General features: G+C 44.0%; 1 long non-coding RNA gene across 1 annotated transcript in view; it reads left to right on the top strand.

The window, feature by feature from the left end:
- Positions 1-4,143: 4,143 nt before the first annotated feature.
- Positions 4,144-12,877, top strand: part of LOC105370269 (uncharacterized) — a 44,572-nt gene continuing 35,838 nt past the window's right edge. The window contains exon 1 of the long non-coding RNA XR_001749929.1: positions 4,144-4,355. This is a non-coding gene — a long non-coding RNA (uncharacterized LOC105370269). The remainder of the gene's footprint in view (positions 4,356-12,877) is intronic.

The following is a 12,877-nucleotide window of genomic DNA, read 5'->3' as shown; positions in this document are numbered from 1 at the left end:
ATGAGGAGCAGCGGCATCCTAGCCAAGGCTGCCTGCTTCCACTGCCCTTAGTTACAGCCCACGCTGTATCCGGATCTCAAACTCTCCATGTTAAGTGTCCTAAGAATTTTTTTTTTGTCCTCCAGCTCCGATGAAGATGCAATGGGGTCTCTTCTTCAGTCTTCCCTGTCAAAAACATCACTTCAACTTCCAGCTTTGGAACTGAGCAGTTAAAAAAATTATTGCACACAATTAAATATTTTAAAACAATTAAAAGTATTGCATATCAATATCGACGTTCTCTTTTGAAATAAGTTGAATGGAAGTTACTTTTTAGTAGTGCGGCAAAGGATAGAATCCATTTTTCCCCTTGCTCTTTCGTTTAAAGATAATTTTCAAATAAAGTTATCTATTAATAAAAATCTAGCTTATGTCTCCCTGGCGCCCTCTCTCTTCCCTCCGAACAGAAAGGGCAGAATCTCTGCAGCCTCCGCAGGGGCCGGGATGCGCAGGTTCAGCGGACAGATCTCTCTCCCACCTGGGACCCCATCGCCAACGCGCCAGCGCTCCAGTGGGGCTATGCGCCAGAGCGGAATCCGCCGCAAGGGGGCGCGCGGGTGCAGCCGGAGGTGGGAGCGAGCGGCTCTGCACGCAGCTTCGGAGGTGCTGGGGTATGTGGGGCTGCGGGGCTAGGTCTGGGCTGCACGGCCCTGGGGGCGCCACGGGGGCGCTTTCTCTTCCCTCTGCAGCCTGCGGAGTGGCGGGGGCAACCCCTTCCTAAGCTGTTTTCCCTCTCTCGGGCTTCTAATTTTTATTTTTATTTTATTTTATTTTATTTTGTTACTTTAAGTTCCAAGATACATGTGCAGAACGTGCAGGTTTGTTACATATGTATGCATGTGCCCTGGTGGTTTGCTGCACCTATCAACCCATCATCTAGGTTTTAAGCCCCATATGCATTAGGTATTTGTCCTAATGCTCTCCGTCCCCAGGGGCTTCTAATTTTTTTTTGTTGTTGTTGTTGAGACGGAGTCTCGCTCTTGTCGCCCAGGCTGGAGTGCATTGGCACGATCTGGGCTCACTGCAACCTCCGCCTCCCGGGTTCAAGCGATTCTTCTGTCTCAGCCTCCCGAGTAGCTGGGATTACAGGCTCCTGCCACCACGCCCTGCTAATTTTTTTTTTTTTTTTTTTTTTTAAACAGGAGTTCACCATTTTGGCCAGGCTTGTCTCGAACTCCTGACCTCAAGTGATCCACCTGCCTCGGCCTCCCAAAGGGTTGGGCCGCGACTTACAGTCGTGAGTCACCGCGCCCGGCCTGGGGCTTCTCATTTTTAAAAGGTATCCAACACGCCTCCCTCCGCACACTCCGCTGGATCTCCAGCGACCCAGCCGGGCTTCAGACAAAAAACGGGCAGCAGGGATGTTCGCAGTCACAAGGACCAGACCAGCCTGCCCCTCACCTGCTACCCCTTTGCCAATAGTGTTTTGTTTTTTGGAGGGGAGGGGGAGGGAGTAAAACATATGTAACATGAACTTTACCATTTTAACCATTTTTAAGTAGTGTGTGATCGACTGGCATTAAGTGCATTCACAATGCTGTGGAGCCATCTCCACTGTCCGTCCCCAGACCATATTCATCATCCCAAACTGCAACCGCAACCGTGAAACACTAATTCCTCATTCTCCTTTCTCCCAGCTCCAGGTAGCCTCTATTACATTCTACTTTCTATCTCTAAGACTTTGTCTACTCTAGGTACTTACTACAAGTGGAATCATATAATATTTGTCTTTGTGTTACTGCCTTATTTCACTTGGCCTATGTCCTTAGGGTTCATCCATGTGGTAGCACTTGTCAAAATTTCCTTCCTTTTTAAGGAAGGAATAATATTCCCTTGTATGTAGAACACCACATTTTGTGTACCATTCATCTGTTGATGGACATTTGGGTTGTTGGCTGTAGTGAATAATGCTGCTATGAACATGGGTGTACAAATACCTGTTTGAGTCCCTACTTTTAATTCTTTTGTGTATATACCTAGAAGTGGAATCATGGTAGTTCTCTTTAACTTTGTGAGGAACCGCCACAGCTGCTGCACCTTTCTTTTTAATAAGTTAAAATATACAATTCATTAATTTCTTTGTCTGCAGGATTTGAAGTTTGAAGCTGGAGGACATCTCTGTTCAATCTCCTGGCTGAGTTTCCCTGGGAGGAAAAATGACTTCTTTAAGGTCATCACTAGGCAGTGACAAAGTCAGTCCTAGAAGCCAATTCTCTTTTCTCTAAAACTTAGGAAAGGAAATATCTAGCACCTCTTTCACTTGAAGGGTATTAAGATTAATGTGGGTGTTATTCATTCATCCTTTCAACAAGTAGTTACTGATTTCCTAATGGGTGAAGGGCGATGTCCTACACACTGGGGTTTGTGAGTATTTAATGAACTCAGGTCTCTGTGCTTGAGATGAAGTCCGGGAGAGGTACATGGACTTATTGAGTCTAGATTACAACCCAGTAAATGCCTCAGTGCTTTCTTATCAGTTCCAAAGGACGTGCACATGTTGAAAACGTGTTTCACTCCTTGAGCATGTTCATCTGATTATTCCGTGAAACAACTGAAGGCCAACTTGTTTGGGGAATTCTTTAAAATCAAATCCATGTTTTTAGCATTTTTTTTTTAAACGGGGTCTTGCTCTGTCACCCAAACTGGAGTGCAGTGGCATGATCAAAGCTCATTGTAACTTCAAACTCTTGGGCTCAGGCAATTCTCTCACCTCTGCCTCCTGAGTAGGTAGGACTGCAGCACACACCTCCATTCCTGGCTAATTTTTTAGTTTTAATTTTTGTAGAGACAGGGGTCTCACTATGTTGCCCAGGCTCGTCTCAAATTCCTGGCCTCAAGCAATTCTCCCACCTTGGCCTTCCAAACTGCTGCTATTACAGGTATGAGCCACCATGCCCAGCCTGTATCTGCATCTGCATCTTTCTTGCCCTTCAGAATATTCAAAGTCTTTTCTCATATATATATATATATATATATATATATATATATATATATATATATATGAGCATTCTAAGCTCATATATGTATGTATATATGGTATATCAGATAGGAGCTATTATTCAATTTTATAAAACAACATACGAAGAGAGAATGTTTAGAATCTTAGCATATACTTTAGTGAAATACAAAGTTTAGTAACAAGAGGCTGAGACTCTTGATTTTTATGCCTCCCAGCCCTAATGCCATCCTTTCAGAGAGTCAAGGGACATTTGATTCAGACCAGCCTCGTGTACCTCCTGGTGAAGCTGACCTGTGTGTTTTAGGTTGGAATAGAAGCCAGTGAAGAAGGTGTGGCTCAAAGGCAACCCCCAATATACAAGTGTCTCCCCTGAGCTTCCTCCCTTGCCTCCACGTCCTCATGTTTCCCCAGATCAGGGCCCCTACAGGATCCCAGGGTTGGAGACAGGGAAACTAGAGTGATGTCCTCCCCTCTCGAGTGTTTCTGAGGATGAACCGGGGGTGACCCAGAGCTTGGTGGGGCTGGAGGCATGGAGGTGGATCAAGCGAGAGCTACCAAATGCCCTGCTGCGGGGTCTTGGCATTGAAGACTCCGGGGTTTTAACTCTGAGCCCTGAGTTTTATCTCCCATTTGCTTTAGATTAGTGGTTGCCAGCCCTGACAAACAGAATCGCCTGGGGAGATTTTAAGCTGGAGCAAGGCTCAGGCTGGCTCTTCACTCCCAGAGATTTCCACTGAATTGGCCTCGTTGGTGCCCAAGCTCTCCAGGTGATTCTAATGTGTAGCTAGCTTGAGAAGCACTGCTTTGAAGGATCTCAAGGGCTGATTTAATCCTCCAATTTTTTGAGTCCTGTATGTTCCTATCTATAAAATTACATCCTCTCTTTCATCTATTTAAAGAAATATATATATATATTTATCTGAAAAGCCACCTCTCTGTAATCTACTTGATCTCCCTTCCTTTTGGAAGCTAATTTACAGCTCTTTTTTTCCCCCTTTTAGAAGGCCCCTGCACTTTCTTCTTTGTGGTTGAGCTATAATATTTCTAGCTGATGTTGGCCCTGAAGGCATACAGAATCACTTCGCGGCTTTTGGTCTTGGCTTCCTGGTTTAGATTCTGAGATAGTGTTGCTTGATTGTTTTCATAGAGGTAATGACATCATGTGTTTTTCTTTCTATTTTTGAAGGTGAAGGTATTTGCGCCTAATGTCGAGCAGATGCTCATCGTTAATCACTTGAAAGGGAGCCCAACAGAAAGAAGAGAAATGTGCTGGAGGAAAGTGCCAGGAGAGCCCGGAGGGACGTCCAAGACTTGGCAGACCTGAACTCGAGCAAGCTTGATGCTGTCATTCTACCTGGTGAGTTAGCTGAAAACTGTGAGGCCAACTGTTCATTTTAATTAAGGTTCACTGACTTTAAACCCTTCTTCGCCAAGGAGTGGTGCAGGCTCAGCTGCCATTTTGAAATCTTCTGTGCCTGGCTCCAGGTCTGTGGCTGTACAAACTGTGCTGTACATGAGAATTACCTGGAGCTTTTAAAAACTCCAGATGCATAGGTCATACCTGAGACCAGCGACATGAGACTCTCCGGGGGTGGAAACCAATATTAGTGTTTATGCTCCCCAAGTGATTTCCCAGTGCCCTATCTAGGGTGACCACTAGGTCTCGAAGTTGGCTGCACATTGGAATCACCTGGTAGCCTTCAAAACCATCAACGCCTGTGTCCCATGATTTCGTTGGTCTAGGGTATGGCCTGGATTTCGGAATTTTAAAAAGATTCCCAGATGATTCTCATGTGCAGACAAGTTTGGGAACTGCTGCTCTCTGCCAGTACTTCTTCAACTTCAATGGACGCATGACTCACCTGGAGATCTTGTTACAATGCAGATTCTGATTCGGCTTCTAGGCAACAGGTGGGGTGTTGCAGGCAGACCACCCTTTGAGGCCTTCAGACTTTGAAAATTACAGTAGAGGTTTTGCCTGTTTCTGGACCTTTTCAGGGCAGAAATCAGTTTTAGATTGATAACGCTCCCTTTTCAAATAAAAGATTTAAAATTAGACTTTAATTTGATTTGTGATCAATAAAACCATAAATCAATCTTTTATTGAAATAAATAAATTGAAATAAAAGATTGATTTACTAGGCTGGGCATGGTGGCTCACACCTGTAATCCCAGCAATTTGGGAGCCCGAGGTGGGCAGATCACTTGAGGTCAGGAGTTTGAGATCAGCCTGGCCAACATGGTGCAACCCCATCTCTACTAAAAATACAAACAATTACCTGGGTGTGGTGGCACGTGCCTGTAATCCCAGCTACTCAGGAGGCTGAGGCAGGAGAATTGCTTGAACCCGGGAGGCAGAGGTTGCAATGAGCCAAGATTGCACAACCGCACTCCAGCCTGGGTGACAGATTGAGACTCTGCCTCAAAAAAAAAAAAAAAAAAAAAAAAAGATTTATTTACTTAAATAAAAGATTCATTTATGAGTACAATTTTCTCAGATATTTTTCTTTGACTTCTTTTTAATTCCCTTCATAAGGAATAGTATGTCCTATGTTTATATTTTTCAAACTAAACAAAGTTAGTTTTATTGTCAGATTATATCAGTTCATTCACAATGTTTCTAAAGCTTTTGGAGACACTTTGGAGATGTCCCACAGTGAGAATTGGGAATCATTGTATTGGATCAGGAGTGTGTGTTGCTTGTTGCTATCTATACATCTACCAAATAGGTTGCTTACTGCTATTTTACATATATAGTGTTCCAGACATTTATTGCTTACATTTCATGGCTTAATCAATAATTTATTATCTTTCTTGGTTCTGTGGGTTGAGTAACGTAGAGGTCAAAGGAAAGCTTTCTCTTTGCCCTCTGAAGATTCTCAGAAAAGTCAGCCCACATAAGGCAGATTAATTGGAGAAAAGGCATACAAATTTAATTAAGGTGTACACCAGGCGAATCACAGAGTGATTACCCATCCCCTAAGGGGGTTCAAAAGCTTATACATCATCCTGGCGAAACAGGTTGCAGGAAGGGGTGGAAGAATTCCATTGAGGGGATTTCTAGGGACAATGAATGAATGGATCAGGGAACAGAGATTAACTTGCACGTTATCTTGTGAAAGAGTCTGATCAGGTATGGTGACATTCTTGGTCTTAGAGAGAGGGGGAGGAAACCTTTTGGTGGGTCTGGATCTTAGGCAGAAAAAGGAGCCCCAGTACTAGCTGGGGTAGCTGGGCTTTGCTTGGGGTGTCTAATAATGTTGCATTGAGGTAGAGGCTGGGGCTGCAGCTATCTAAAGGCTTGGCTTGGCTGGATATCCACAACAGTGTCTTCACTCTCATGTCTGGTGCCTGGGCTAGGATGGCTGAAGAGCTGAAGGCTGGCCATGCAGCCATGTGACCATTCCCTGTGGCAATCCTGGGCTTCCGCATAACTCGTAGGCCTCAGGGTGGTTAGGCTTTTTCCATGCGAATTTGGCATTCCCCAGAACAAGGATTCTAAGTGTGAAAAGACAAACTTAGGCACATTCAAATTTTAACCAGTTTATTTGAATAGACAGCTCATGAATTGGGCAGCTCTAGATGTTCTTGGAAGCAAGGCAAAAAAAAGAAAAACCCCACAAAAAACCATTTGAGTGGTTAAAGTGAAAAGTCACTAGTTTGAGGTTCATTGGCAATTTCTGATTGGTAAAGTCTCTAGTTAGAGGTTGGTTGGTGGTTTCTGATTGGTTAAGCTTAAGTGTTGTTTTCCTGGGATGACCGTGACCGTTCACTCTGAGTTGGGTTTCAGGTTGCTTTTGTAGGAACCCAGAGTGCTGAGCTCTCTCAACCTAATGTCCTCCCAATTAAGAATTTTAGCACAAGAGACTTGGGCTTTCCTCTTACAATGTAGCCAAGAAGTCTCTCTGCATCACTTCTGCAGCTTTCAATGGATCAAAAGTGAGATTCGATTCAAGGAGAGGGGACCCCAAAAGGGCATCAATACCAGGAGGCATGGATATTGGATAACTGTCTTTGGAGACATGCTACACATTATGAATAAAATGTAAGTTTAAATCTATCTACAAATCCCCAGAGAGAGAAAGGGCTAGGGAGATTCATTTTATTTGAGTTGTGGGTGTTTTGAGAATTCACTCTTTTCTTCTACTGCTAATACGGTTAACCCGAGAGACGTTTGTAAGGGTTATTGCTCCTGAAGTCTGGTGCTAATATTAGTGTTTTCACATCTAAGGTAGTATTACTAGCAAATTAATGTCAAAATTACTGCTACTTAAAAAATATTTTATTTTAGCACATAAGGATAGGTTTATGTTTTTAAAATGTATGGAGTTATCTCAAAAGCTTTTTAATAGATATAGTTCTACTTCGTACCAAACTTGAAATATTTAGCAAAAATTAGCATCATGATAGGTGTCCCAGCTTGAATCTTCAGAATTTCATACTGTTGATGCAAAATGATTATTTATTATTATTAGGTTAATATAAGCCCTTTATGTCTATTGAGTCCACTTGCTATAAGGCTACATTGAAGCTATGTAATGTCTTTAATGATTTGAGTGTGTTTCAGAATTTGTCATCAGTTTTTTACAAAAAGATCTCCAAGGTATCTTGACGATTATAGGTTGTGATACTGAGACAGAGTCTTTTTTTTTTGAGACAGACTCTCGCTGTGTCACCCAGGCTGGAGTGCAGTGGTGCAATCTTGGCTCACTGCAACCTCTGCCTCCCGGTTTCAAGCAATTCTCCTGCCTCAGCCTCCCGAGTAGGGCGCACGCCACCACACCCAGCTAATTTTTGTATTTTTAGTAGAGACGGGGTTTCACCATATTGGCCAGGCTGGTCTCAAACTTCTGTCCTCTTGATCTGCCTGCCTTGGCCTCCCAAAGTGCTGGGATTACAGGCATGAGCTACCACGCCCAGCTGCGGTACTGACTTTTTAAAAAAAGTTAATGGGAAAGAAAAAAACAAAGTTAATGAATTAATTCAAAGTCACTATCAATTCTAGAAGACATTAAAGAAATACTATTTTTACATCCTAACCACGTGTGTTATGTGTTGCTCTTCTATACCCTCATTCTTTGCCCAAGATTTGTTCATCCATTCTTCTTGTCAGCTGCCTTAAATAATCCTGGGTCGTCGTCTTTGCTGGTGGCTTTGGAGTAGCTCAGAGCTGCCCTGGATGGGAAAGACTGCTCTGTCGGCAGTTCTGTGAAGGACACTTCAAGCCTTCCCCTGTGGGAGGAAGCCCATCGCTACTGCTGCTGCATTTCCCCTGGCTTGGCAGCCGAAACCTTCCTGCTGGTGAAGTCACAGCGGGTCAGGATAATAATGTGGACAGAGGGAAAGAAAAGGATAGAAAGCTGCCTGCCGAGTAAGCAGGTCCTACGGCGCTTTCCTATTTTCCTTCCTGCAGATAAATATAGACGTGACCACTTTTCTAATAGCTTGACAAATTATCTTTTTTTTTTGTAACAGAGTCTTGCTCTGTCACCCAGGCTGGCAGTGCAGTGCACTGCAGTGGCGTGATCATGACTCACTGCAACCTCGACCTCCTGGGATCAAGCGACCCTCCCACCTTGGCCTCTCGAGTAGCTAGGACCACAGGTATGCACCAACACACCTGGCTAATTTTGTATTTTTTGTAGAGATGGGGTTTTGCCATGTTGCCCAGGCTGGTCTTGAACTCCTGGGCTCAAGTGATCCCCCGGCCTCGGCCTCCCAGGGTGCTAGACAAATTATCATTCATTACGGGGCTGCAGCATTTGGTGATTGGCATTAGGGTGGAGGTGGAGGTGATAAGGGGCTGTGGTTTAAGGTGATAAGACTAGATGGCTTGAATCATATGGAAAATATATTCTTTCAAACTATTAATACATTGGCTTACTCTGAAAGAAAAAAATTCAACGTGGCAATTCTGTTATCATATCATTCAGCTGTAAGAATCAAGTGGCGCTTGCTTTAATTATTTCATATTGATCCTAGTACATTTACCCTTCATTTATCTTACTAACTGGGTATTTAAGTGAAGCCTCATGTTGGGACCGATTTCTTGGGTGCATAATATCTGTGAGCTTTTTTTCTGAACTTGGCAGTGTTTGAGAGGCCAGTGTAAGCCAGTAATTTTAACCTTTTTCACGGTCATGTTGCCAGGTGCCTAAGGAACATTTTTTTCCCCACTCAGTTATAACTTCTCTTCATGATATGTTTTCTGGTGATGACAGAGACACTGCTGTACAGGGCCCTAGCTGTAAACATGGATGTGAGTAAATCCTATGGGGATGTTACCAACAAAATGGCACTGACATGTGCATTCATGGCATGGCCCTTCTGCATGGTTTTTTTTTTAGGCATAAAGTCTCACTATGTTGCCCAGGCTGGAGTACAGTGGCTATTCACTGATGTGATCATTGTGCACTACAGTCTTGAACTTTTGGGTTTAAGCCAGCTTCCTGCCTCAGCCTCGCGAGTAGCTGGGGCTATAGCCACACACCACTGCACCTGGCTCTTTGCATGATATTTCTGGTGGATTAGTAAAAATGGTAGGACATGTTTTACAGCAGGCTTGAGATATAGTGCTTGACGTATAATATTTAGAAGAAATTGTTCAGGTAAAAATAGTTTAGCTCCTACCAGATGAATTACATACTCTTTCACTTGATGGTAGGTACTTTAATTGTGATCTTGACTCATAAGTAAGTAGCAATTATACTGACATACATGGTTTCTAAAAAAGTACATTTTTTATTTTTTAGAGTCAGAAGCAACACTATCATGCCATGCTTCTGAAAGATGGGCATTGGGCTGTTTTAAAGTTTTTATTGAACCTCCAGGTTGGCTCCTTCATAGGTGCCAGCTGTAACTGGGGTTGGTTGACTTGTTTGTAATAACTGCACAAAAAGGATAACTTTTTAAATGAGATGGTAATATCGGAATGTTGAATTCTGCATTTACAACTGCGCTGGAAGACTAAACTAATTTTAGTTATTTCTTGGAAGGTGTTTATTTTGTTCTTTTTATTTTTTATGTTTTTGAGACGGAGTTTTGCTCTTGTTGCCCAGGCTGGAGTGCAATGGTGTGATCTCGGCTCACCGCAACCTCCACCTCCCGGTTCCAACTGATTCTCCTGCCTCAGTCTCCCAAGTAGCTGGGATTATGGGCATGTGCCACCAAGCCCAGCTAATTTTGGATTTTTAGTAGAGACAGGGTTTCTCTATGTTGGTCAGGCTGGTCTCAAACTCCCGACCTCAGATGAGCCACCCGCCTCTGCCTCCCAAAGTGCTGGGATTACAGACGTGAGCCACCGTGCCTGGCCTGTTCTGTTCTTTATGATTCCAATAAAACTATGACCCCCCCCCACCTCCTTTTTTTGAGACAGGGTCTTGCTGTGTTGCCCAGGCTGGAATGCAGTGGTGAGATCTCAGCTCACTGCAACCTCTGCCTCCCAGTCTCTAATGATCCTCCCACCTCAGCCTCCCAAGTAAGCTAGGGTTACAGGTGTACGCCACCATGCTTGGCTAATTTTTTACTTTTTTGTAGAAACAGCTTCTCCCTATATTGCCTAAGCTGTTTTTGAACACCTGGGCTCAAGCAGTCCTCCTGCCACGGCCTCCCAAAGTGCTGGGATTACAGGCATGAGTCACCATTCCCAGCTGAGCCATGAAGCTTTAAGAAAGTTACCATGTATCATAAATTCTTTTGATGTGCCACACAGCTGCAAACTACTGGGCACCCAGGGTTTAAGCAAGAGCCTGAGTAGTTGCCTATGACATACTCACCTGCTTTGAATGTCTTGAATTATTACTTTCTGTGAACTATTACGGTGCTATTTTTTTTTATGGTCAGAGAACAGAGGATGAGTAATTTTACTAATGAATAATTTTTTTAAATAAGCGAAGTATTGCAGGTAGATCTTTTGTTGGGAGAAGAGATTGCACACACATGTACATACTTGCACAACTCTGCTGGAATGAAAAGCAGCACATTTTGTCATGACTTTGCCCCTTTGCCCCCTACCTTGATTCCCTATAGCTTTGCTCTGTGCAGGGAAGTCTTGCTAGAATCGACAAGGAAGCTACCTTTGTATGGTACCACTGGTCTTTTGCAGTCATAGGTTATATCATGGCCCAGAAAGAACTGGAAGCTTTTAATTCCATTAAAGGGAGGCTCACATTCTTTGGACTCTTCTAGTCCCTGAACCTAACTCAGCACCAGAAGCTTACATTCCTACCAGGGGAGGAACAAAGCAAGCAGAGGCTGCCCAGAACAGGCACAGAGCACTTTCCTCATCTTATTCAATTATTTTGCTTGTTGTCTCTCTACCCATAATAGATCGTAAGCTCATGAGAACAGGAGGTTTTGCCTATTTTGTCCATTGCTCTATTACCTGCACTGAGAATATCCCCTGGCAGATAGTAAGCCCTCAATACACACGTGTTAAATTGAATGAAAGCCCATTATTTACCCAGTATCCCCCAAAGAGTTTCCTTTACACAAGCTATCACAGTACTTAACGGTGGTCCCTGGGGCCTATCACACGGGAGTTCTCTGAGTGTGATGTTTTTTAGATAAAACCTTCCAAGCGAAGTTGTTATAAAATATAATTTATAAACATTCCTTTAAAACTCACATGTTCTCATTATAAGCAGCTGGCTTAAAATAATCACAGATCTTCATTAGAGAAATGCAAATCAAAACCACAATGAGATACCATCTCACACCAGTCAGAATGGCTATTACTAAAAAGTCAATAAATAACAGATGCCAGCGAGGTTGTGGAGAAAAAGGAACGCTTATACACTGTTGGTGTGAATTAGTTCAAACATTGTGGAAGACAGTGTGGTGATTCCTCAAAGACCTAAAGACAAATATACCATTTGACTCAGCAATCTCATTACTGGGTATATACCCAAAGGAATATAAATCATTCTATTATAAAGACATATGCATATGTACGTTCATTGCAATACTACTCACAATGCAAAGACATGGAATCAACCTAAATGCCCATCAATGATAGACTAGATAAAGAAAATGTGGTACATATACACTATGGAATACTGTGCAGCCATAAAGAGAATGAGAGCTTTTTTGCCTGCTGCCATGTAAAACATCTCTTTGGTCTTCATCTTCTGCCATGATTGTGAGGCCTCCCCAGCCATGTGAAACTATGCAACAGAGATCGGAGGCTCCCAGCAAAAACCATAACAGTGTGTGAATCCTGCGCCAGCAACTGAGGTGTCCAGATTCTGTTATCAGAACTGACTAGGAGGCTGGCATGATCCATGGAGAGCAAGGAAGAGCAGTGTGGTGTGGTGGCCCACCCGAGAGCCACGTGGGTCAGGGGAGCCCCCACACCCCAGCCAAGGGAGGTGATGAGTGAGCGTGCTACCTAGCCTGGGAAATCGTGCTTTTTCCATGGAACTGTGCAACCCACGGATGGGAAGATCCCACTCGTGAGCCCACTCCACTGGGACCTAGGGTCTCAGCCACGGAGCCATGGAGATTCTCAACAGCCACTCAGCTAGAATCTGCTTAAGCCTGCCAAGTTCCCAGCTGAGGAGTGGCGAGCACCACAGCTGTCACTGCCTGCTGTCTAAGCCATTTGAGCTCCTTGGGAGAGGGGCAGCAGCCAACACTGGGACTGCTAGCTGCCTAACACACTAAGCTCCCAGGGTGGGGGAAGGGTGGCAGCCATCACTATAGCTCCAGGCCATGCTTTTCTCCCCGCTGAAGCCAGGGAGGTTGGACGGGTTGGTCCCAAGAGGTATTCCCCACAGCCCAATACACTGGCTGTGGCAGATGCAGCCATAGTGCCTCTTCAGGCCTGACCCTGATCCATCCCTCCTCACTGGGTGGGGCCTCCCTGCAGGAACTCCAACA

Source organism: Homo sapiens, chromosome 13, assembly GCF_000001405.40.
Source record: "Homo sapiens chromosome 13, GRCh38.p14 Primary Assembly".
In the NCBI taxonomy this organism is placed as follows: domain Eukaryota; kingdom Metazoa; phylum Chordata; class Mammalia; order Primates; family Hominidae; genus Homo; species Homo sapiens.
This window is presented reverse-complemented; position numbering and strand designations above follow the sequence as displayed.